Here is a 24414-nt window from a genome sequence, read left to right as displayed (position 1 = left end):
TATTACCTTCCAGTGTGGTCCAGCTCATTTTTGGACTCCTATAATTGTCAGAAAACACGTTCTTCTGCCCTCCCTGTAGCTCTTCCCACTGGTATAAGTATATTGCTCTCTGGTGTCACACAGAAAATGATTCACCATCTCCTCCCCTCTTCTCCCTCTCTCCTCCCTAGACCCTTAAATCAATTCCCAACTGACTTGGTTTCTAGAATGTTTCTCCCACCCAGATTCCCCTCCCCTGGCTGGTCTACTACTTGGAAATATTGCTCAATATCTTGTGTGTCATCGGGCCAGGGCAGAGCACTGTGGGTGTGTGGCCTCCTCTGATTGCTGCTGCAATGGGACTGTTAATGCCAAAGAGATTCATCATCACCAGCTGAGATTTGCCTGCTCTCTCCAATTGGGTGCTATGTATATATGCAGCACTACATTCATGAATGGTAGAAATATCTTGCATAATTGAGTTGAGGGATTTTGAAACTCTCTTCAAGATATTTCCTCTGTGTCCACACGTACATAATATACTGGTTCATGGTGCAAAGTCCTAAAGATATGATATTCTAAAGTTTGTGTTTCTATCTTCATCTTGTTTCTTACCATTAAAAATATGGCATCAGGCTGGGTGCAGTGGCTCACGCCTGTAATCCCAGCACTTTGGGAGGCTGATCAGGAGTTCAAGACCAGCCTGGACAACATGGTGAAATCCCATCTCTACTGAAAATATAAGAATTAGGCAGGTGTGGTGGCTGGCATCTGTAATCCCAGCTACTAGGGAGGCTGAGGCAGGAGAATCGCTTGAACTAGGGAGGCGGAGGTTGCAGTGAGCTGAGACCATGCCACTGCACTCCAGCCTGGGCAACAGAGCAAGACTCCATCTCAAAAAAAAAAAAATGGCATCAGGACAAGCACTGAACCTAGGATCATGTCAGTTGGTACCATGTAGGCCCACCTCTACTGTGTGACTTTCAGCAGGACACTTACTCTTTTTGTGTCTCTCAACCCTCAACAGATAATATGAGAATATCAGTGCCTACCCTCCTGACCTCAGAAAATTTTAGCAAGAATTAAATTAGTTACAAATTGTGAAAATTTTTTACAGTAGCTTTTAAAAATAGAATGTATATATTACTACCGTTATTATTACTATGTAAGCTGTAGGCACTTAATAAATATTAATGGAGAAATGAAACATAAATGATAGAGAAAGGGCTAAATAATGACAAGAAGGAAGATCAGAGTAAGATAAGACGTAACATCAATTCAAGCTCTTGGCACCTTAAGCCATTGTCTGTCGCCGATGGCAACACAGAAAGAATCACAGTACTTTAAGTCCAGGACAGTGTTTAAAGAATTCAGGGCTTACTTTCTGGCAAGGGATCATCTCACCCATGATTTCTAAAGCTCCATGCAGTTAATGAGGCATCTAGTAGCACCTGTTCAGAATTTACCCAGGAAGAAATGTAATGGGGAAGAGGCAGAAGCTAAGAGGTAAGGCTCACATTCATCAATGCACATTGCTAGTCTTCCGAGGATAGCAAAATATTTAACTGCTGGGCAGCAAATCCCATTTGACTGTTTAAGTAAGAGGTAGTGATTAATATCAAGCTAAAAGTATGTGCCTTTCTACATTTTATTATATAAAATACACTAATGGCGTATATATGAAATAAAATTGCATTTTCAACAAGTTTTTCATTCTCCCATGAACTAAGCGTCACAGGATATTTGTTCCTATGCATTTAGTCATCCATCCATTTATTCAAACAAACATCTCTTAAGTGAATATTATGTGCTCAGCTTTGTCCCAGGTATAGCAGGACTAAAAGATGAATAACCTTGTAGTCTGGGCATAGGAGACACACACACGTACAGCGAGAGAGAGAGAGATTTAAATGCACCATGATGTGATTGAACACAGACAGATGACTCAGGGTGCAGAGGGCCTTACAGGTGATCTTTGAGCAGCAGATCAGTCAGGACTCAGCTGTAGATCAGAGAAACCATTCTAGCAAGTTTAAGTAGAACAGGATTTAATACAGGAAATCAGGTGCTAACAAAATCTTTGAAAGGTCAGGAAAAACAGTCTCTGTGAAACCTGGAGAAATATATCCTAGAACAATACTGCAGAACCGGACTCCCAGGTGGAGCTGCCTTCTCTGCCATATTCAGGAAGCTTGGAAATCAAAAGACTGACAGTGCAACCACTGGCTCCAGGAATACACCTCATTTGCAATTTTCAAGGGTACAATTGTTGGTTCCTGTTAGATCCTTGCTGGGGGGAATAATAAAGGCTAACAGACCACACAGCTCTTGCCATTTAACTCAATTCTGATTTTAAGTCTTCTGTGAATGCATCTGACTAACAGAGCCCTAAATCATATTTGGAACCTCTGCAGTACAGAAACCCCAAGAAGAGGGTTTGCATAGCTACCAGTGAGCCTGTTTAGCTCACCCAGATCAGCAGAAAATGTAAAGATGAAACAATATTAGGGTGGAGAAGGGGAAAGGACTGAAGCTAAGAGGAACAGCATGTGCATGATACTAACCAGTATTGGACCTATGCCCTTGATGAGCTACGAACAGAACCACGGAGAGCACTTGAAATGTCAGAATCTCTTTGGTCATCCTTGTTACTGATATTGTAATACTAACATCAAATCCATATGCGTGCTCTGGTACAGTAAATATGAACTCAGAGTCAAGAGACAGCAATGCAATATTCTTCCCGGCTCTGCCAGTGACAACGTCCCTTGGGAGGTCACTTAACATGGCTGGCTTCATTTTTCCTATCTGTAAGGTAGAAAGAGTTTCCATGATTCTCTTCTAACAGGAAGTAATAAGAAATAGAAACATCAAAACTCTTATCTTGGTGTGAGTGGTTATACACATACTAGTTAGACATCCTGTTTAATGGAGGAAAGGGGGATAGTTACAGTGTGTGCAGGCTCACTTTTGACTAGTCAATTCCTTTCCTAATAATACATTATTGCAGTTTTGTTGGGATAATATTAGAACAGTGGCCACTCAATAAATGCTCATTGGCATGAGATTAAAATGTAATAATTCTGGAATTCAGTTTTCTTTGGAAACGCAGAAGTCTTCCCAGCTTTCCTCTCATGACTTGTAGAAACCTGTAATTGCACAGTACATGTTGACTGGCAAGGTAAATAAGTGAGAGAGCCAGAGCTTTGCATTGTTTGCTGGGCCTTGTGCTCAGCCAGTGTGAGGGCTTGGCAAGCAGAGTTGTCTTCCATTTCACAGTTTTCATGAATATGTAATTCATCTAGTCACAATAGACGTATTTCATGCAGTTTGGAAAGCCACATGTTATTTCCTTGCTCTAATGGCCTCTTCTGCCCCTTTTTAGAAACAGAGAGGCTCAGCAGCTGTTGAAGGTCAAGCTACCATTGGGTTACTGAGTTACAGCACACAGCAATGGTGGAGACCACGTGGCGTGTAAATTACCTGCAAGAGTACAGGCGGCATGCCATGGCGAACTACCTTTAAACACCTCTCCCTTTGTCTCTTTTCCCGAGACCAAGAGGAAAGAGGAGTCCAAGCAAGCTATGAGAGATAATATACAATCAGATACGCTTTTAAGACAGGCACTGGGCAGAGAAAATATGACACATGTAGTAAGGATTCCATTTAGTTAGATTTTCTCCCTCATCATCTGCACTTATGTGAGAATCGATGATGACCAGAAAAAATAGTGCAAAACCAAAAAACCACAAATAACCCTACAGTAAGACCTGGTGGCAAAGAAACTGTGAGTGTCTTCAAAGTGACCATCTACCTCACGATAGCAGAAGGGAACAGTAAGTCTGGGGTTTGGGCCTTCCCCAGATCCAGATAGAGGGAGCTAGTAACACATGTCTCCGCTGTTTCTCCATTTCCTCATTTTTGTATACAAACATACACACACATACACAGACACACACACACAGACACACACACACATGCTTGGGAGGAAAGAGAGAAGAATTTCACAGAAATGCTCTATGCCTTAACCAATTAACAATTACAAAATAAGAAATATGACTGTATGATAATTGAATTGCCACCAGCAGTACAAGAGGACAAAGCCAGTTTCATTGTACTTATGTGTTTCTTAGATTAACTTTCTCTTATTCCACCAAACTTATGCCTTACTCCTGTCTTCTCTCTTTGACTAATGAGAATAACTGATCCCCACTTTCTAACATTCAGACCTGTCAAAGTATTGATATCCTTCAGTCTTCCTGCTTTTTCCACTCTTGGAAGCTACTAAGAAAGTAGCTACCACTCTTGATTTTATAAAGAACCTTCTTAAATATATTACCATTTCAAGAGACTTCTTCTGAATCCTGGCCAACTTTGACTTGCTCTTTATTAAAAAATGGAAATGTTTAAAATGTAAGAATGCTTTATATCTGCAAGGTAATCAGCACCAATGTGGCTAGTTCAAGCTGAGATTATTTTCCCCCTCTGTTTTAATCTTTCTTACATGTGGTAACCATTTAGAGTTTACACAGAGCTTCGGAAAGACGGTCTTGGGCTTGGGGTATGGTAAAAGCCAGGGTGCCATAGAAGACTGGCACCTTTTATATTGGCAGAATAATTTTCTTTAAAGGGTTATTGTGAGGACTAACAAGGGCAGAGCAGGAATTATGGAAAAGAACCAACCGTATACAGAACTGGCACATGGCATAGGCCTTGGGTCAGAGGGAATTTCAGAGCCCATTCCTCTAGCATTCTCTGGGTCATCTCAGGACTGCTGAGACATGAGGGCCTCTGTTGAGGACACCTTCCCTCAGCATGCAGGAGTCATGTGCACATGACTTGGTTCAAACAAAAAACCAGCTGGTTCTCAGAGGCTTAAGAGGATGACTGTGAGAGTCACCAAGAGGACGCATCTTTTCTCAGCAGCTAGAGAACACAAATTCCCTGACATAATTCAGGAGAATGGATGGGTTAGCCAATTCCTTCAGGGGTAAAGTAGAGCACCATCCAGCCCTTCTAACCAACAATCCATGCAGGGTTCACAAAGTGAGAGAAGACCCTAAAGGTTTCTTGCCTAAATATCCAAACACAGCCTCATATTGCATTCACAGTCTCTGTGTAATTGCCCGCTTTTCACTTTATTTTGCCTGGGCAGCCTCAGTGCTCATGACACAACTGAGATGATGAAAGTTTCTACTGAGGTGCGATGTGTTAGCCACCAATAATACCTTTGCCAACTGCAAATTTTCTCAATTTCCTTGAACTGCTTACAGAATAAACAAAAACCTGCTTTATTAATTATTCTAACCATTTGCCAGTTACTTAGGTTTTAAGGCGGCTTTGATATGCTTTAAAACCACATTTGTGTTAAATACCAATGTAAATGAAGCACAGAAATGAACAAAAAGGCTGCAGTGCAGGACTGTAGTTCATGGAGATGGTAGTTCTTCCCCCACTTCAGGATATTTCACTCTGAGGACATTACACTATTATTAAGATTGTCTTCCCTTCTAGGCCTCAAGGATGGATTTAATTTTGTACAGTTCTCAGACTTGATGGCTAATAGCAGTAATGCCGAACACAAACATCTGGACTCACTGCAGGAAATCATTTCCTTTGTTCTGAGAGTCGAACCAGCAACCTGAGTGAATGGCGTGGAAGAGCTTCAGTGCCTCAGCCAGCGATCCAGAAATAAAACGTTAAGCCTTACTGAAGTAAGAAGGGAAACTGACAAGACCTAAAAACTGAACTTCAGGGAACATTCTCCCACCATCAAAGTGATCGTCTATTCAGAATTTTGATATTTGGAAAATGGTAGGGCAAGAGATGTAGAATACAGGATTTGGGGTGTGTTTTTCTTAAGTAACTCATAAGCACTCTAAATATAGCGAAAACCCTGCACTGTACCCTCAAAGGGTTGACAGCACCAAATGAAGAGGAAGATTTTTAATAACTATATTTGAAACCCTGGTCCTTGCCCAACAAGATGGAGATAAAGTTTCCAAACCCGCATGCTAGAGATTGTGGAAATTCAATATTTCTCTGAATATCTGGGAGACCAGGACACACGAACAGTGGTTTACAATCACAGAATTACTTTTTCCCGCCACCCTCCCCAACCCCCACCCCCACCCCCACCGCCAGTAATTAATGGGATTACTGGATCTAATGGTAGTTCTAAGTCCTTTGAGAAATCTCCAACATCTCTTGAATTGTTCTCTGGAGGTTTCCTATGATTGCATCCTTTATGTCAGCAACCCTAACATGGGACCCAAGTCCTTCTCGGTGACCCCACTTGTCTTTTGCCCCCTCATCTCCTCCACCAAAGCATCAACAAACACATGTGTAATAGAAGTGTCACTGAAAAGGTGGGAGTCATCACCCTGGGCACAGTGGGGAGACATTTTGTAGGCTGTCATGTCTTACAAGGGAAGAAAGATACTTTACTTATTTATTTTTGGATCAGATCTTTATTTTTATAATTTTGACTTTCATTTTAGATTCAGGGGGTACATGTGCAGGTTTTTTTACATGAGTATATTGTGTGACACTGAGGTTTGGAGTACAAATGAGCCCATCACACAGGTAGTAAGCATAGTACCCAATCGGTAGTTTTTCAACCTTTATCCACTCCCTCTTGCCCCGCTCTAATAGTCCCCAGAGTCTGTGATTTCCATCTTTATGTTCATGTGTACCCAATGTTTAGCTCCCATTTATAAATGAGAACATGCAGTACTTGGTTTTCTGTTCCTGCGTCAGTTCACTTGGGATAATGGCCTCTGGCTGCATCCATGTTGCTGCAAAGGAAATAATTTCATTCTCCTTTATGGCTGCGTAGTATTCCATGGTGTATATGTACCACATTTTCTTTATCCAATCCACCATTGATGAACACCTAGGTTGATTCCATGTATTTGCTATTGTGAATAGTGCTTTGATGAACATATGAGTGGATGTGTCTTTATGATACAATGTTTTATTTTCCATTGAGTATATACTCATTAATGGGATTACTGGATCTAATAGTAGTTCTAAGTCCTTTGAGAAATCTCCAGACTGCTTTCCACAGTGGCTGAACTAATTTACATTCCCACCAGCAGTGCATAAGCATTCCCTTTTCTCCACAGCCTTGCTGCCCTTATTATTTTTTGACTTTTAATAGCCATTTTGACTGGTGTGAAGTGATACCTCATTGTGGTTTTGATTTTCATATCTTTGATGATTACTGATGATGAGCATTTTTTCATGTTTGTTGGCTACTTCTATGTCTTCAAAAAGCACTTTAAAATGCATTATTAGTCTGCTCAGCCATTCCACCACCAGCAATTTCTTAATGGCTGTAGCCACCCTAACCCCTTAACATCTCATGATTTTTCTGATCCTTCTCACCTCTCCCTGTTTACACCAGTTATGGGTAGAATTGTGTCCCCCAAAAAGATATATTCAAGTCCTAACCTCCAGTGCATGTGAATGGGACATTATTTAGAAAACAGGGTCTTTGCAGATGCAAGCAAGTTAAGATGAAGTAATTTCGGTGGACCCTAATCCAATATGACTGGCATCTTTATAAGAAAAGGAGAAGACGCACAGACAGAGACACACAAGGAGGATGCCATGTGACAACAGAGTCAGAGCTGGAGAGATGGAGTCGCAAACCAAGGAACACCAGGGATTGCACAGGCACCGGGAGTAACCAGGAAGAGGCAAGGAAAAAATCTGTCCAGAGCTTTATAGAGGGAACATGGCCCTGCTGACACCTTGATTTCAGACTTCTAACCTCCAAAGTGGAGAGAATAAATGTCTGTTATTCTAAGCCACTCAGTTTGTGGTACTTTGTTAAGGCAGGCCTAGAAAACTAATACAAAACTCCCCTTCCTTCTCTCTCACTCGCTTTTATTTTCTCAGCAGAGATATTTAGCATCTCTTTATTATCTCAACACCTATCCTCAGATCTTCATCTCTGACCCACAAGCTGCCAATGAATGCATTTTCCTGAATAAGGACAGTTCCCTTCCTAAGAGAAATTCTGATGCCAGAGGTCAAGAAAAAAAAATTTTTTTCTCCATTACCTATAGTGTATTTAGATTAGGAAAATATACAAGCCAAGTATGCAAATTAGATTTGGGGGTCTAAACTCTACAAATTGGCTGTTGCTCTTGATCAAATAAGCACACTCTCACTTCACATGCATTGGCAGCTTCCCGCTGTCGATAGAGATGAAGATCCCCTGCTCGTGAGAGCCCGGAAAGCTTGCATGAAGTGGCCTCTACCTCCTTCTGCCTCATCCAGGACTGCTCCCCAGCTGCCACACTCTGCTCCACCCACACTGCCTTCTTTGAGTTCCTCATTTTCAACACATCCTCCCTCCACCCTCACACCATTGACCCTGCTACTCCTGCTGCCTGGAACGCTTTCTCCAGATTCCTGCCCCAGCCTGTCTCTGAGGTAACTCTAATCTTCGTCTGATCTTAGGTCAACAGTCAAGTCTTTCCTAACGCCCCAGGACTGTGATGTATATATCACATCCCCCAGTCACAGACTTTTATGGCACCCACCGCTTTTCTTTAGTAATATTTATTCGTTGTTAATTATAACAGAAGCTCTCTTAATTCAGCACCGCAGGGAATTAAGTGATGCTTTCAAATCCCTTTGTAAAACGTATTGATGGATTGCCCGGATCACGATCAACACTTGAGGCTTCTGCCACCTGGTAACCTCAAGGCCTCTACTCCCACCAGCTGAGCTTATGCTTACTAAGAGTGGGTTGTTTTTGTTCCCAAACCTGTTTATGGCAGTTGTACTTGATTACTATAATTATGTAGTTTAATTAAATATCACATAAACTGATAAAATATGAGCATGAAAAGAGAGTTACTGTCTCTATGAAAGCTCAGTTAAATGCCTTGGAAAGACCTGAAAAGCTGGGGGAAAATAACTGCTCTTAAATTAGTTGTAGGCAAGACAAGTGTAAAAGATTGGGGGAAAAAATAAAAATCTAAGTGAATTCACTTAGTGAAGACACTTCACAAGTGTCTTTAAGTTTTCCCTCCACTTTAGAGTATCTGAAACTAGAAATTGTAGATGATAATGTATATCCCATCATTTTGAGTGAGCTTTATGCAAGAAAGATAACGTAAACTTTCAATGACTGGACAGATCCTAAAAGAAACCATCTTGACTCTAACAAATTTAGCAAATGAATGTTCGTTTATGTATTTTAAGTAAAAAAATAAAATATTTATATATATATAACCATACCTATATGATTAAATATATATATATCAAATCATATACATACTTCCCACTTTAACTGCATTTTCCAATTAACTAGTTACTGGTCTTACTCCCATTGGAAAATGGGTTTTCTACAGTAAATATTGACATGATCATTTCATTAATATTTGACTGTGAGCTCTATTACAAGGGGTACGTGTGTGGTTCAACACTAACATTCCAAGCTGGGTGCGGTGGCTCATGCCAGTAATCCCAACACTTTGGGAGGCCCAGGCAGGTGGATCACTTGAGGTCAGGAGTTCAAGAGCAGCCTGTCCAACATGGTGAAAACCCATCTCTACTAAAAATACAAAAATTAGCCAGACGTGGTGGCGTGTGCCTATAATCCCAGCTACTCAGGCGGCTGAGGCAGGAGAATCACTTGAACCCGGGAGGTGGAGGTTGCAGTGAGCCAAGATCCCACCACTGCCCTCCAGCCTGGGTGAAAGAGCAAGACTCTGTCTCAAAAAAAACAAAAACAAAAACAAAAAACATTAACATTCCAGGAAGGGCACAGTAGCTCACACCTGTAATCCCAGAACTTTGGGAGGCCGAGGCAGGCAAATCACATGAGGTCAAGAGTTCGAGACCAGCCTGACCAACATGGTAAAACCCTGTCTCTACTAAAAATACAAAATTAGCCAGGCACGGTTGTGCATGCCTGTAATCCCAGCTACTCAGCAGGCTGAGGCAGGAGAATTGCTTGAACCCGGAAGGTGGAGGTTGCAGTGAGCTGAGACTGCGCCATTGCACTCTAGCCTGGGCAATAAGAGTGAAACTCCGTTTCAGGAAAAAAACAAACAAACAAACACTAGCATTCCAGCGCTTGACTATGGCACATAGTAAGTAGTCAGCATTATTCTGAATAAATTGGAAATTTTCCTTTATTTTGTCCTGTGCAGACACAGCAGATAATATAGTAAAATATTTAAACATATGTCTCTGAAGGAGGTTCAAATATGTGCAAAAAGATTATCCCTCAGAATTCTTCCGAGCAATAAGTATTAACTTCAACTTTGTGGAAGACTGCTCAGTATGCTGGGGCATGTTTGAGGGCCACAGTATCTTTTCTTTCTGACTGATAGGCTGGCTGCCCTGTTTTGTCTGAACAGGACTCTCTGGATGGGGGTGAATCTGAACCAGGGAATAAAGGAGGTGCATTTTACTCTCCTCTCTTTATGCCATGAGAAATCTATCCTCCTCCATGACCTAGCCTTAGTGAACATAACAGATGGGTTTAATCCATAAAAATGAAAAACTTTTCCCATTTCAACTCCATTTCCTGCCTGTCCAGGTAAAACAAAACTTTCCCTGAGGAAATGATGTAAATGCACTCAACATTCTTAAAAGATCCTACATAGCACAAAATATTGCTAGGAACTGAACCATGTTTCTCTTCAATTACATTTAAAAAGAATTATGAATGGGGTAATGAAAAAAATATAGATGGGAGTTAGGAAATGCTTTCCAATTCCAGCTTCATTGTGATTTCCTTCATGAAGCTTCAATTGCCTTGTCTGTAAAATGGGACTGATAAAAATGCATGCCCTGTCTATCTTACAGAATTATTGTGAAGAATCATATTAAATGATATCTATAAAGATGCTTGCAGTACTACAAAGGGTGACACAAATGTGCCCTGGTATTGTTACTACAAGGTCCCCTATGCCATCTTTCCTCAACAGTGTCAGTTTCTGCCCTTCTTCTTTGTGCCTGGCAGGCTGCACTCAATTCATTTCCTTTAGCACAGACACAAGTAATCTTCTGTTATTACAGGTGAAAGGAGGTTGGAAGCTACTGATTTTGGAGTAGACAACAATGGTCTTGCTCCAACAAACCTTCTGGGGAAATCCACAGGACACTTCAACTCCTATCTTGCCCCACAATCTTTTCAAGACAGATAAAGAAAGAGGCGTGAGTCAAGGTCCCTGCAAAAACTGTAATTTCATCACCAGTATGGGTTTAAACTTTAACAGCTTTGGTATCCATCTGTAAAATGTCATTTGTTGGTTCCATCCTAGTAGCTCAAACAAAAGAAAAAACACACATCTACTTCCTTCAATAAAATGTAAAAGTCTACAGTTTCTCTATATTTGTGCACTCAAGCCATTCTAATTTATTCTACAATGACTTTTATTTTTTAGCATTTTTATGTGGCTGTTATACTACATAATTAATGGTGTTTACATGGAAAGGTTGTTTATGTAAATGACCTAAGTGGACTACTGAGCAAGCTTTAAAACAAATAAATATTTTTCTCCTTTTAAAATTTACTTCACTCTCCTCTGAATGTCTGGCAGAAGAGCAGAGTTTTTAAAATGTCAATGGGGACATAGGAATCAGGCTTTTGAGATTCATTCTCCCCTGGTGGGTCGGGCTTATAATTCTGTTTCCTGTAATGGTTGGCCTTGGGGGAGTCAACAGTGACCCCACTGACCCAGCACATCCCAGACTCAGAAGCCTGTCTTTTCTTTGGGAGGTTGCCACTGTTTTTCTCCATGACCTTAAACATAACACAATATCTGGCCCTTAGAGTTCATTTCCTGCAGAGTTTGCAGACCTGAGGATGGGCGACTCATGAGATAAATATGCTCACTATAAAGTCCAGAAATACACCAGGAAAGAAAACCTACCAAGTTTCTGAATACCTCCACCAAAACAATCGCATCACCTAATTGTGGCAATTACTGAGACTGTCCCTCCTAGTCAAAGTTCAAATTGCACGTTCTTTGAGTGGCAACACACAGCCAAATTACTGTAAAACAGAGCTGGCATGACAGTCACTACTTGCCAAGACATACATTATTTTTCTAAGGCATTCTGAAGGGAACATATTGACATCAAAGCCCACTTCTTTATTCCTGCCAGAGGCAAAGCTAAGAGGACAGGAGTGAAGATGCCTCCCTCCACACCCACACAGGCCACCTTTCAGAGGCCTTAAGAGGGAAGCCTGGCTCCAGGTCATCTCTGGAAGAATAGGTCATGTGTCCTCTAAAGTACCTTTGGAGTTATGTCAGGAGTTACAGATCAGACTGTGACAGCAGGCTTTCTCTACACCAGGCTTCTGCCTCAGAGATGACCATTGAAAAACTCAACCCAGTTGAGTTCTGAACATTCTAGCACACAGATATCCCTGCATCAGTCCTATCCAGATTGGTAGCGCATAGCCTAGAATTGCAGTCCAGACCTAGAGGAGGACATGCAAGTCAAATGCCTAATGACAAGCATGTTATTTTGTTTGTTTGTTCATTTTTTTGTTTTGTTTTGTTTTGGAGACGTAGTTTCGCTCTTGTTGCCCAGGATGGAGTCTCAGCTCACTGCAACCTCCGCTTCCCGGGTTCAAGCAATTCTCCAGCCTCAACCTCCTGAATAGCTGGGACTACAGGTGCCCACTACCACACCCAGCTAATTTTTGTATTTTTAGTAGAGAAAGGGTTTCACCACATTGGCCAGGATGGTCTCGAACTCCTGACCTCAGGTAATCCGCCCACCTCGGCCTCCCAAATGGTGGGATTACAGGTGTGAGCCATCATGCCCGGCGACAAGCATGTTTTGAATGAACAAAATTGTACAAGATCCAGAACTGTCTTAAGGCCTTCATATTCTTAAAACACTCACATCATTTGAAACATATTAAAAGGTATATACATTTCACACTTAATAATTTTTCTATAAAAGGATTTTTAAAATTTTGCTTGTGAAATTATGTGGCTAAAAGTTAAAATATAATTTCTCTACACTCATCACATATACTCAGGAACTCTCACTTGGTGAGAGCATCTCATCTAAAAATTGTTTTCCAATGTAATGAAGTTGTTATAAATGCTAAACCCATCCATTAATGAAGCTGACACAGTGTTCAATTTTGTGATCATTTAATAAATGTTCATTAATTTTGCTATGAGTGTCCTTTTTTTTCTTTTTTGGTTTTGTAGACATTTTTCCTGGCCAGACTCCAGATATTTTCCCAAGCAGAGCTCCCTTCCCCAGCACTGTAGGCCCTGGACCTAGAGGCTAAACTGGTCCTCTGAGCTCATGGCAGTCAGCCAGGCACTCCCAAAGAGGGTATCAACCATAGTGAGTTCTCAGGGATTCCTAGACATTCGACAGGACTCCCTCTAACCAAAACAATAATGTGGAGGCTCCAGGTCTTCCGCTATCACTTACAAACCCAAGAAATTCTTACTGATTAAACTCAAATTCTGAAAATTTATGAACTTTTGGCTCCTTAGAGAAATTTACTCATAACCAGTGCTAAAAGCCTTCATTGTTGGCCTTGGTTGAATCCATTCTTTTCCTTCAGTGGGTGAAATCAGGTTTCATAAGTCCAAGTGATTTTATAAACCTTTGTTTTCCAACAATAAATAAGATTTGGAAGCTGATCTGGAGTTACATTTCTAGTAAGCTTTTCTGTCACTCCACAATATCTAAGATACTCATGCCCCACCAAGGTGTTTATAACTAGATCCCAGATTCCTTCTTTAAAGGTATCCTATCAGCAACTGTTAGGTGGACTGTGCTTTATCAATTGACTTTTTTTTTTCCAGAAAAACTAAGTCTTATCAGAGTGCATCAACTCAAAAATAACTATAGGTAGTCTGTTGACAGTCACAAAATTCCCTCTTTAGCCTATCAGAAAATGCTGAAGTGACAAAGAACTTGTAAATTCTACTATCTTAATGTGGCCTCTAGCGACATCACATAATCAGTGTGGTTTGTTTAAAGAATTCATTCCTGACCTTGGTTTGCTTTGTATCTTTTTTAAAACCACTGAGTACACATTGAATTTATAGTGGTAAGCTTAAGGCGTCAGACAGCATGAGATGGAATTCCAAATCTACCGTTTTGTAACTGTGAGAACTTGAGCAAGTTATTAAACCTCCATTACTTCATCTGTAAAATGGTACTAGTAATACTTAATTGCATTGTTCTCAGGATTAAACAGACTAATGAGTATAAAGCTTTTGGTGAGCAATCAATAAATGTTAGCTTTGAGTATTACTATAATTATTATCCATCATTTTCTCATTATTTACTGTACCACCATTCAAGCCACCACACCTAGAACCTGGAATGCTCAGTAGCTTCCTCACCTCCCTGCTTGTTCTACTCTTGCCTATCCTAAACCCTTCCCATCTACTTCCCAAAGCTAAGGGGTCCTTTCAGAAGGGAAAAGCAATCAGTTCAATCCCCTTCCCACATAAAACAGAAATGCCCCCCGGCTACCCTTAGCACAAACCTGAAAGGCCCTGCATGGCCAGACTCTCGCTTACCCTCTCTAGCCTGTTTCCACCTCTCTTCCCCATTCCCTCTAAGTCTCAGCCATACTCGTCAGTCTTCCGCATACAACCCATACTGCACATCCTCCACCAGACCCTTCCCCCAGCCTGCAGAGCTCTGTCCCCAACCCACGCCCTTCAGATCCCAGCCCCAAAGCTACCTCTTCAACGAGATCCCACTCAGGTCTTTTCTCATATTCCTTCCCTGCAAAGCACTTAGCTGAATAAACCCATGGCCTATTTAATAAGGGATAATTTCCTAATATCTGCTTTCTCACACGATTTTCAGTTTGCGGGAGGGTACGGCTGCCAGTTTTGCTCATCGCATTCCCCATAACCTAGTTCAGCCAAGACCTAGTGGAGGAGGCAGTAAATATTAAATTAACGAAAGAATGGATGCATGCAGAGCGGTTAAAATGGCTCGGACTCCGCAGCCTCAAAAAGTTGGCTCCCGCACCTGAGGCCTCTTATTAAATGGTTCCCAAACATGCGGGGTCACTTTTCCGTATTTTGTTTTTTAGTTTGGCCTTGGTTTGTGTGTCACTCTTCACGAGTAAAGGTTCAGGCGCGGCCACCCTTGAGAGCGTAGACGGGACACCACCTGAGATAGAACGCCCAGCGGCAGTGCTGCCGGCGTGGGGCGGAAGTGCGGGGCCTGGGGCCGGCGCCTGGTGGGTGCGGGCGGAAGTGCCCGGCGCAGGGCGGAAGCAGAGGCGTTGGCGGCGTGAGGCTCAGGTGGGTTCCCTTAGTCCCGCGCCGAGGGTGAGCGCTCGCGGGTCTCCGCCTCTGAGCTGACGCGCAGGCTGGCGGGGGTTCGCTGTGCCGCGTGCTGCCCATTTGGATAGTCGTTATACGGAATTTAATTAAACCGGGAGCCATAAATCCATGAACTACTTGGGGGAGATTATAAACGCGTGTGTGTGTGTCTGTGATAGCGCTCTGGGAAGTAAATAAATGACGGGCGGGAAAAGGAAGCTTTTTTTTTTTTTAAGAGAAAGCAGAAAACATCTCGAGAAAGCAGAAAACATCTCAACTTCATACTCCTCCAGTGATTCGCCGATGCCCCGTCCCGGGTTTAATTGAATTCTATGAAGTGGTAGTGTAATCACACTTGGGAGCCCGCTGAGCTGACTGCCTTTTTAAATAAATATTTTTGAGCAGCCATGTTGACCTTTAATTGGGGTGAAAAGGTTGAAAGGTGCAGCAGGGAACATTGTGAGTGCCGGGGCTCTCTGGATGAGCTGTCTGGATCTCCTCTCAGCCTTATTGGGCAAAAGCAGCCCTCTGGGTACTGAACAATGAGAGAATAAATCAGAAACTGTACATTCTCAACAGATATTCACTTCTGACAAATAGCAGCTCATACAGTTTTTTAATAAGTCCAAGGGTAGAAAAGTCCCCACTAAAATGTCATTGTGAGTTAGGCTTGTGACTGTTTCTAAGGCTGTCTTTCACAGGGAATGTTTTGCTTGGGTGATCTTTATTCTTGTTTATTAATAAATAGTGTATATGTGGTACTTTATATTTTAGTGCCCTTAAAAAAAAAATCCATAGTATGGCCTTAGCTTGACCCCAAGATTCTCAATTCCTCAAGGACAGAGATGGTGTCTAAGATCTGTTATATCCCAATACTTTCTAGCGCATTTCCCAGAATTAGTATACATTGTCTTGTTTAAGCAGCCACTAGAGCTATGCCTTGGTGCACAATGCTGAACAAGTTGAGGTGTCTATTAGAGGTCGCAGTCTTCTCATTTGGTCATATTCTGAGGACTAGCTTATAAAAATGCATGTGAAGCTCTCTACCAATATTTGGAGCTGTATACATTGGGGTGCATTATAGGTAATTAGAAAGATTTAAAACACGGGGAAAAAAGATACACCCTGGAAATATTGGATAATTATGATAATACTGGGGCAAAGCAGAACTAATCATGGTTCTGTGTGAAATATCGTAGCCCAATAACCTGCGTCCTGCTCTGCTGAGGAATTGCCTGGAACCAGAAAGACCCTGTTGTGAAAATTAAGATTGGTGGGGCTGGTGCTTTAAACAGGCAGGATCCTCAGATTGTCTTTCTTCCCTCCTGCTCTGGCAGCAGTAGCCACATGCCAAGGAAGGATCAATATTTTTTTGTCTCCTTCATCAGAGGAATATGTGGCTGTGTGGTTTTATTTAGATGGACTGTTGGCAGGTAAGTAATAGAAATGAGGATTTTTCCAACTTGGGAGTTGATTGGACTGTGTTTCTATTTTGTTCCAGATGCCTGGCTCTAAAGTACTCAGAGGCACTATGAGAAATCCCTTTAAAATAGGTTATTTTTTATTATTAAAGTTTTTTTATTTCATAACTTGTATATACTCTAGCTGGCTGATGTATTCAGTTACTCTAATGCTAGGCCTTGGGGTTTCAAACATAGCAGGACCTTGAGGTGATCTGGTACAAGTAGCGAGGTGTTTTTATGTTCCTTATTTAAATCTAATTTTTGCTACTGCTTTATTCAAGGACTGTACATCAGAGGAAGCCAAAAGCCAGCTGGAATACTTCCTGAATACAGTTTTAATCTTGTTTGCAATTATTTCGAAGGGGAGAAATCATCTGGATCAGGTATGTGTAGCTACACAGCAGGGACTAGGTGAGCTTCCTCTATCCTTCCCCTAGTATTGCATAACAAATTCTAGGGACAAAATCATTTGGGGAAGAATATGCAAATGAAAAGTTTTGGCTAAGTTTATCTTAGACATGATTCCACATCCCTAACTTCCCATCCCAGTACAGCCACGGAGAACAGGAAACATGAAAATGTTACTCTCTTTTTATTCCAATCCTTACCAAAGTTAAAGTTCCTAGATATGGAGGCAAACTGAAAGAACCTACCTACTATTTTTAGAAAGTATCCATCTCCAAGGATTTCAGACCATTTCACCAGTAATATCTAGTAACAGCCTTTTTACTGTTGTAGCCTTCATCACTGTGGTATTGTGTTATTTGTTTGTGAGTCTTTCTCCTGCTCAAGGTGTGAGTTTCTTAAGGGCAGTGACAATATCTTAATCACTTTTATATTTCTAATACATGGCACAGCACCTGGCACATTGCAAATGCTCAGTACAAGCTATAGAAATGAAAAGATAGTGTCCCTGAAGGGAGGTTGGATCTATAAAAAGTATAAAACATTGAGAATGTAACAAGATACTGAAAAGAATATAAAGCAGTCACCTCCTTTCAGGTTGTTACTAGAGACAGAAGTAATGCTTTAATAAACAGCTTGGAGCAGGGAAGAGTGTATTTGGGAATACATTAGATGCTCCTCAAACTGCCTTCCAAGGAGATCTGGCCTGGTCAGTTGTGGGTCCTTTGTTGTTTAGAATATGCAAGCTAAAAGCTTCCACCAGTCCTGTCTCCACACTTTCTCCAGGCCTGCCATGCAACGCCTCACCCAAACACCTGTTTAGCAAATATTTGAAGAGTATCTGTTTGAAAGTGTGCCAAATTATTAGCTTATGTAGGGCACCAGTATCTTGGTTTGGTCTTGCCTTAAGGATAGAGGACCTCTGTAGAGTCACTATCTTAAGTCTGGTCACTATTTTAAGTCTAGGTTGCCCAAATAATATTGAAGGAAATCCACACTTGTCTTTTCTACTTTACTAACAACATTTCAAAGGAGTTCAAAGTTGACAGCTTTTTGTGTTGTAATAGGACAGTGGTGGTATATGCTGCTGCCTTCTGTTGCCAATGGGATTGCAGCAGAAATCGCATTGTTACAACTGGAAACAAATGAATTTCCTCTCATTGTTCCAGTGCTTTTTCATGTTAATCATGAAATAATGGGGAAATGATTTTTAGTCAGGAGGGAAGGACATGACGTTGAATTATTTGATTTTTTTAAAACTCTTTGTTTCTTAAAACACATAGTCCTTCCATCCAGTGAAGAAAAATGATTCTATTATTTAATAGAAAACTCAGTAAATTCAGCCATTTCTCCAGGTTCAAAAATGAAATGGATGTGAATCTTTTTAGATTTAGAGAACAGAGCCTAATTCTTATGGTAAAAGAATTCTACTGTCTGAAACTGAGACTTTCCTCATTCTCTCCATCCTTAAATTAAGCCTTATACAAAATGAAGTGTCTGTTAATTGGTATACTCTGAGGATTAATATGAAAAGTGTTTTGCGATTTTTTGGGAAGAAAGAGGATTGAACTTGGAGATGCCTTCTAGTTCTGAAATTCTGTGTTGATCTCATTATATATAAAAATATGCCATTGTTCCAGGAGAAAATACAGAGAAATGAACTAAAAAATATAGTATGAAAGACTTTAAGCATTAGTTTCCTTATACATAAAGCAAGGGGAATCTCCAAAGTCACTTCCAGTTCCAAAACATTAAAAAAATTCTATCAATGATAGCTATTAAAAAACAGAATAGGACTCAAAAGATTGTAGAATCCCACATAACTGAGGGATGCCACAGCCTAATGTCAAGCAAGAGTGGATGGCTCCCAACATTCAGATTGAAGACTGTATTTCTACAGGCCTGGGTCTTACTGTTATCACAAGTCCAGGGAAATGCTGGATTTAGCAACTCAATGTCCAAAGTCACTTGCTACAAAATGGCAAGCAATGAATGAAACATCTTTTAGGTTTTGTGGGGGCACAAAGATAACTTTATCTCTTTGACAAGATAAATTGAAAGTGGGTGGAATTTTAGGGACAAAGAGAAGACATTGCCTGGGTGGATGGTTTTTGAATTGCAAACAGTTGTTTTTGGAAATGGGATTATGTGCTTTTTAAATAGCAGGGAAACTTGCATTACTAGCTGGGTACAATAAGACTAAGATGTTTAATGAAATTGCCTTCTTTCTAGGTCAGTATTAAGTATAAGAGATATCGTCAAAGGGAATGGGTCATGTTGGTTAAGAAGGATAATGTGGAAAGGAGCCTGCCTAATTCCTTATATACTTTTTTCCCATCCCTTGAACTAGAATGATTTTGCCCTCATCTTAATGCTATCTTTATGGAATGAAGGAATTTTCAAATTGGTTTTTAAACTCTATTAAGGCCTCATGTATGATATAACCCAACCACATTATTCAGGTTTTCTTGGCTTTCAGGAACAGCTTTGCAGCCATTATGTCATAATTGAACCGAGCATTGTTGCACACTCTGAATTTGGAATATGCTGCTCTGGCTCCAGGCCAGTTGCTGAGTCAGTATCTTTGGAGTTGAGGATGGAGGGGAGGGGTGTAGTGTGTGCAAACCCCATTGTGTTAACAGGAATTAGTCCAGAATTCCCTTTGGACTCTTGGGAACTAGAGGGGGTATATGGTGAGCGTACATTACTGTTCTTGATTGGCATCATTATTTTATTTTCTTAGCTGAGTGTTTGGAAACTCTTCCCTGACATTGTCATGTGCACCAACCCCATTACTGAGTAGACTCCTCCAAAGCAATGATCTGGAAAGTGTGAATGCTAAGATCTACATATTCTAAAACAAAATCTTGCTTATACTGAAGACTCCTCTCCCCTTCCACTTTACATTTGTCAGCTTGCCACAGCTGAGGCAAAGACAGCAGTGTTTCTGGATGGGAAAGAGAATGCCAGGATGAAGAGGATCTTTCATTTAAAATCATCTTTAAAATGTGTTTAATAGTAAGAAAGAGAAATTCATTATTTTTTCTTTGTAGGGAGAGTTCCATCTTGGATGCTTAGACAGTTGCAAGATGAGTGCCTTAGTGTCACCTTCCCCATTTTCCAGCTTGGTTCCTTTTGACACCAACACTTCCCAGTTATGATTGAGAGTGAGAAAAGAGAGTATGCAGTGAACAAGTATCTTTACACTTCTGCCTGGATCTATAAGTGAATTTGAGTCCTCTTTAAGGGGCTATTTTAGGCTCCTACAGATAAAAACTACTTTGGATTTTTTATTCAAGGCCTTATTTAGTCATAGACTATTCCCATGGCATTTGTTTAGCATGTGATTTCCCCTTCTCTGATCAGGAGAATGCTTGAGGCCCAAAGCCCCAGGCACAGTTCCTTTGGGTTTCTAAAATGAGAGAATGGGACAAGTGGTAGCATTTCCATTTAATTGTGGCTGAAACTGAGGCTTTAGGAGATGAGGATTTGCCTCCCTCTTTGGGTTTTATGTTTATGAAATCCTCACCTAAAAATGCACTCAGGGAAGTCAAACATGCTGAATTTCAACGGAAACTCTATGTGAAGAATAACTTCAAAGCTCAAAATGAAGAACTATACCATTTATGCTTAATTCCTCTGACTGATTAGTTAGTAGGAGCTGTGTTGGTTTAAATTTATTTTGACCTCTCTAGACAATTTACTCAGAACCACTTGGAACAAGTTTTGTCTTTAAAGATTATCAATAAAATCCACCTTTACAATTACCTAGGCGGCTTCTTTTTTGACGTGCATGAATTGAGGATATCCTTGGTAAAATAATAATGGTACTGAATTTTTCCCTGTTTGAGAAATAAAAACAAATATTGGGAAAAACCAATTGGAAGGGAACTGGCCTTTGCTTAAAACCCATCAAGGGGAAACCTTGATTTCTCAAAATCTAAATTTCAGTACCTTCATAATTTTGTGAAGGCTGAGTAAGTTTAAGCCAATACCTGGTGCCAAGGTATTTGCTAGTCAGTCTTACCTAGGCTTAGTGACATCCTTAGGTGCAGATAAATATGTTGAATATTTAAACAGTCATATCTTAGAAATTCCTGTTTAAATAATATTTGTGAGAAAACTTTCAGTTATTTCTATTTGAAATTTTTTTCAGTTTTGCAATTCCGCATTTCTGAGACTGCTGTTAATAGAGATTTAAATGTTTCATTTGATGCCAGTAAAAGCACATTTCAGTCAATAGAATCATTATTATTAATAGTGATCTCTTACTTTTAGTATTTTTAGTAATCAGTACTTAAGCTTTACTTTTCTATTCTGCTTTATAACTTACACAGAGATTTTTACCTTCATCATCTCTTTTTAAGATACCCAATCAACTTTTGCCTTCACTCTTCCCACCCTTCCCACTCCATCTTCACCAGAAAGATCTCCTTTTAGTTAAGATGTTAAATTGGGTAAGAACCACTTAAGGTAGTTCATTTTAGGAGTAGGCATTGGTTGAAAGATTTCATTCCTTTGAAGCAACATTAGATGCATCTCTTCTGATTTGTGGTAGATTGTTTCACTGTCCCTGTTCTAGACAAGCCCTCATCAGTCTCCTTGACAATGGACAATTCTGTCATTCTGGAAACACTTTCTCATTGACTTCTGTGATGACACACTTTTCAGGTTTTCCTCCTACCTCACCAGCTGTTCTGTCTGCCTCATTTGCTGGTTCCTCTTGATCCAACCTCTAAATGTTGGATTGCTTCAGAGATCTATCCTGGGCCCTCTTTTTTTTTCTGTACAATTTTAGATGATTTCACCTAGTTTCATAGCTGTAAATATAATCCTTAAACCGATGGAGACTCAAGTCTTTATCTTTAGACCCGGATTTTTTTCCTGAGTATCAAACCTGTGTATGTCATTCTCTATGTGAGTTCTGACATGTCCCTAACCGAGCTCTTGGTCCGACATATTCTTCAATCTGTTCTTGCCTCAGTTTTCCTTATTTTAGTAACAGGCACTGCCACCCACCTAGAGGCTCAGGACCAAAACTGAGATTGACCTTACTGCCCTCTTTTCTTTTCTTTAATTCCTCATGTCCAATTCATTGGCAAGTCCTGTTGGCTCTGTTTCTGTTCTAGTCCATACCATCCCGTCTCATCCAAACTAATGCAGTAGCCTTCTACCTGCGTCCCTGCTCCACTCTTGCCCCCCAACAATCTGTTCTTCGCACAGCAGCTGAAGTTTCCTTTTAAAAATGTATATGAGATCATGTCATTTCCCTCCTCTAAATCTAACTGTACTTAGAATAAAATCTCAATTCTTTAACATAACCCACAAGGCCTACGTGATCTGATGCCTGCTTACTGTGGGTTAATCTCGTCTCCTGATTGTATCCCCTTTTCCTTGGTGTACTCTGCTTAAGCCATACAATCTTTTCTGTTTCTTTCAATAAATCATTTGTCCTCACTTACAGGCTTTTGCATTTACTGTTTCCTCTCCAGTGCAAACAACACCTGCTCAGAGAATACCTTAATTAAAGAACCTGCCTCAGTCAGCATCACATCACTCTGCTATTATCTCTCCCCTGTATGTATCACCATCTCAAGTGGCCTGACATTAAAGAGTCTCTTCACTAGCACATGGACCCCATGAAGGCAACGTACCTTACTTTCTTGTTCATCACCATACCCCAACACCTATAATAGTATCTGATACATGCAAAATATTAGATAATTGTTGAATAAATAATGCATCCCACACCTAGATTTTCATAACTGACTTCTCTTTCCCACCTCCATTCTCCTTTTCTCAACAGTCTTTTCTGCCTGCTGCTGCCAGATTAATCTTTCAAAACACTGATTTTATCACATCACTCATTCAGAACCCTTCAGTGGTTCCCAAGACATATACAACACATCACACATTGCTTAACCACCATTAAAATCCTCCACAGGCTTATCCTAGTCCACCTTCCAAAGCTTATTTTCCACTATTATTCAGCAGAAGTCTCTTTACCCCGTTCAAGGTTTCCCCCATCAGATAGCCATGTCATTCCTACCTCCATTACCTTTGTGTCTAACCCTGAATTTGGAAAGCTTTCCCTTTTTTCTACATATCCAAATTCTCAATGAAATGATTTAAGATATTTCTCTTGTGAAGCCACCTCCAATTTTAGCCTATAGTACTCTTCTTTCCCATTCTCTTATAACATTTGAATTATATGGCCCTGTTACAGTATTTCCTGTATTTCTAATTTACCTGCTCATATACATGTCTTAACTTCTGACCAGATTTTTCATGGGTTGGGATCAACCCTTATTCATTTTTAACCCATCTTTCCATCCCCATTGTGGAACTAATGAGTGAATGATATCATTGATTCACTAATCACTGTGAAGCCTGACATAAAACTTTATTGTTTTAGTTAAGAATTCAACACCTTTCTCCTGAATCTGTATAACTGAAATACATCTTGTTATTCTTGTTACTTGTATCAAACATGTGGAGTTGATTAGTCCATCTGAGAGCTTTATTTAGAGGTGAAAAAATGAGCTAAACAGCAGGCAGGATACAAAAAAAAAATTAATGGCTTAATGTTACTGAGAACTAGAAGGGTAAGGGGATGTGCATCTACTAAGTGAAGGATATGTAAATGCTGTATACCTTCAGTGAAATTGTCATCTTAGGCAAGGCCCACACTTCAAATAGCTAAAGAATGTTTTCAACTGAGCAGTGTGTTGAATACAAATTAATGTAGCACCCATCGAGTCCAAACAGTGGAATAGAGACATCCAGCTACTTAGAAATTGTCATGGTAATAACTTGAAGGGAAATAAAGAGTTTTTGTCCCAGGCACTCATGTGACCAATCCTTTCTGGAGACTGATTCTTTGCTGGCTTCTCTCATCCCCTGTGTGGTAAACCTGTTGACACTGAAATCTGGAAGTAGAAGCTGCATAGAGGGAGTGGTATGAGGAGCTGCGTCTCAGTCCCCAGGGCTGGGCCATAATATAGGCCTATTCATAGTTTAATGTGTTGTGTGGAAGCAAATCTGCAGTCCAAACTGTGTAGTCAGAATGAAGCTGAGCGTGACACCATGTATAGCCGGGCCCATAGGTGGGTGGTTAGCTCAGGATCTTTGTTGCAACATTTTGTTTGAGTTGGCTCTACCTCCTTAACACTTCCACCTGGATGCTAAGGCTGAGACACTAGAAAAGCACCTCTGATCTCACCTATGCCAGTGAGTTAGAGCTGCACTCCAGGTTGGGC

General features: G+C 40.6%; 1 protein-coding gene across 12 annotated transcripts in view, besides 3 other annotated features; it reads left to right on the top strand.

Annotated features, from left to right (window-relative positions):
- Window positions 8104-9025: an enhancer, noted in NCBI's record as "OCT4-NANOG hESC enhancer chr5:126415384-126416305 (GRCh37/hg19 assembly coordinates)". NCBI's record gives its function as "activates a minimal SCP1, AML or CMV promoter by ChIP-STARR-seq in primed H9 embryonic stem cells {active_cell/tissue: H9 hESC(primed)}" and the evidence as "EXISTENCE:reporter gene assay evidence [ECO:0000049][PMID:30033119]".
- Window positions 11351-11933: an enhancer, noted in NCBI's record as "OCT4-NANOG hESC enhancer chr5:126412476-126413058 (GRCh37/hg19 assembly coordinates)". NCBI's record gives its function as "activates a minimal SCP1, AML or CMV promoter by ChIP-STARR-seq in primed H9 embryonic stem cells {active_cell/tissue: H9 hESC(primed)}" and the evidence as "EXISTENCE:reporter gene assay evidence [ECO:0000049][PMID:30033119]".
- Window positions 15139-15358: a silencer, noted in NCBI's record as "silent region_16290". NCBI's record gives its function as "represses an Ori minimal core promoter by ATAC-STARR-seq in GM12878 lymphoblastoid cells {active_cell/tissue: GM12878}" and the evidence as "EXISTENCE:reporter gene assay evidence [ECO:0000049][PMID:35858748]".
- The window catches only part of C5orf63 (chromosome 5 open reading frame 63), a 30941-nt gene continuing 21741 nt past the window's right edge, over window positions 15215-24414 (top strand). For 11 of the 12 annotated variants that reach the window (NR_170930.1, XR_007058603.1, XR_007058602.1 and 8 more), the window contains exons 1-2: window positions 15215-15266; window positions 17032-17133. The gene's annotated coding sequence lies outside the window, so the exon portion shown is untranslated. Of the gene's footprint in view, window positions 15478-17031; window positions 17134-24414 lie in introns of all 12 variants that reach the window. The other variant, XR_007058601.1, reaches the window with a different exon arrangement.

The sequence above is a fragment of the Homo sapiens genome, chromosome 5 (genome assembly GCF_000001405.40).
Source record: "Homo sapiens chromosome 5, GRCh38.p14 Primary Assembly".
Lineage (NCBI taxonomy): Eukaryota > Metazoa > Chordata > Mammalia > Primates > Hominidae > Homo > Homo sapiens.
The sequence above is the reverse complement of the archived record's forward strand: the minus strand, read 5'-3'. Positions and strand labels throughout refer to the sequence as shown.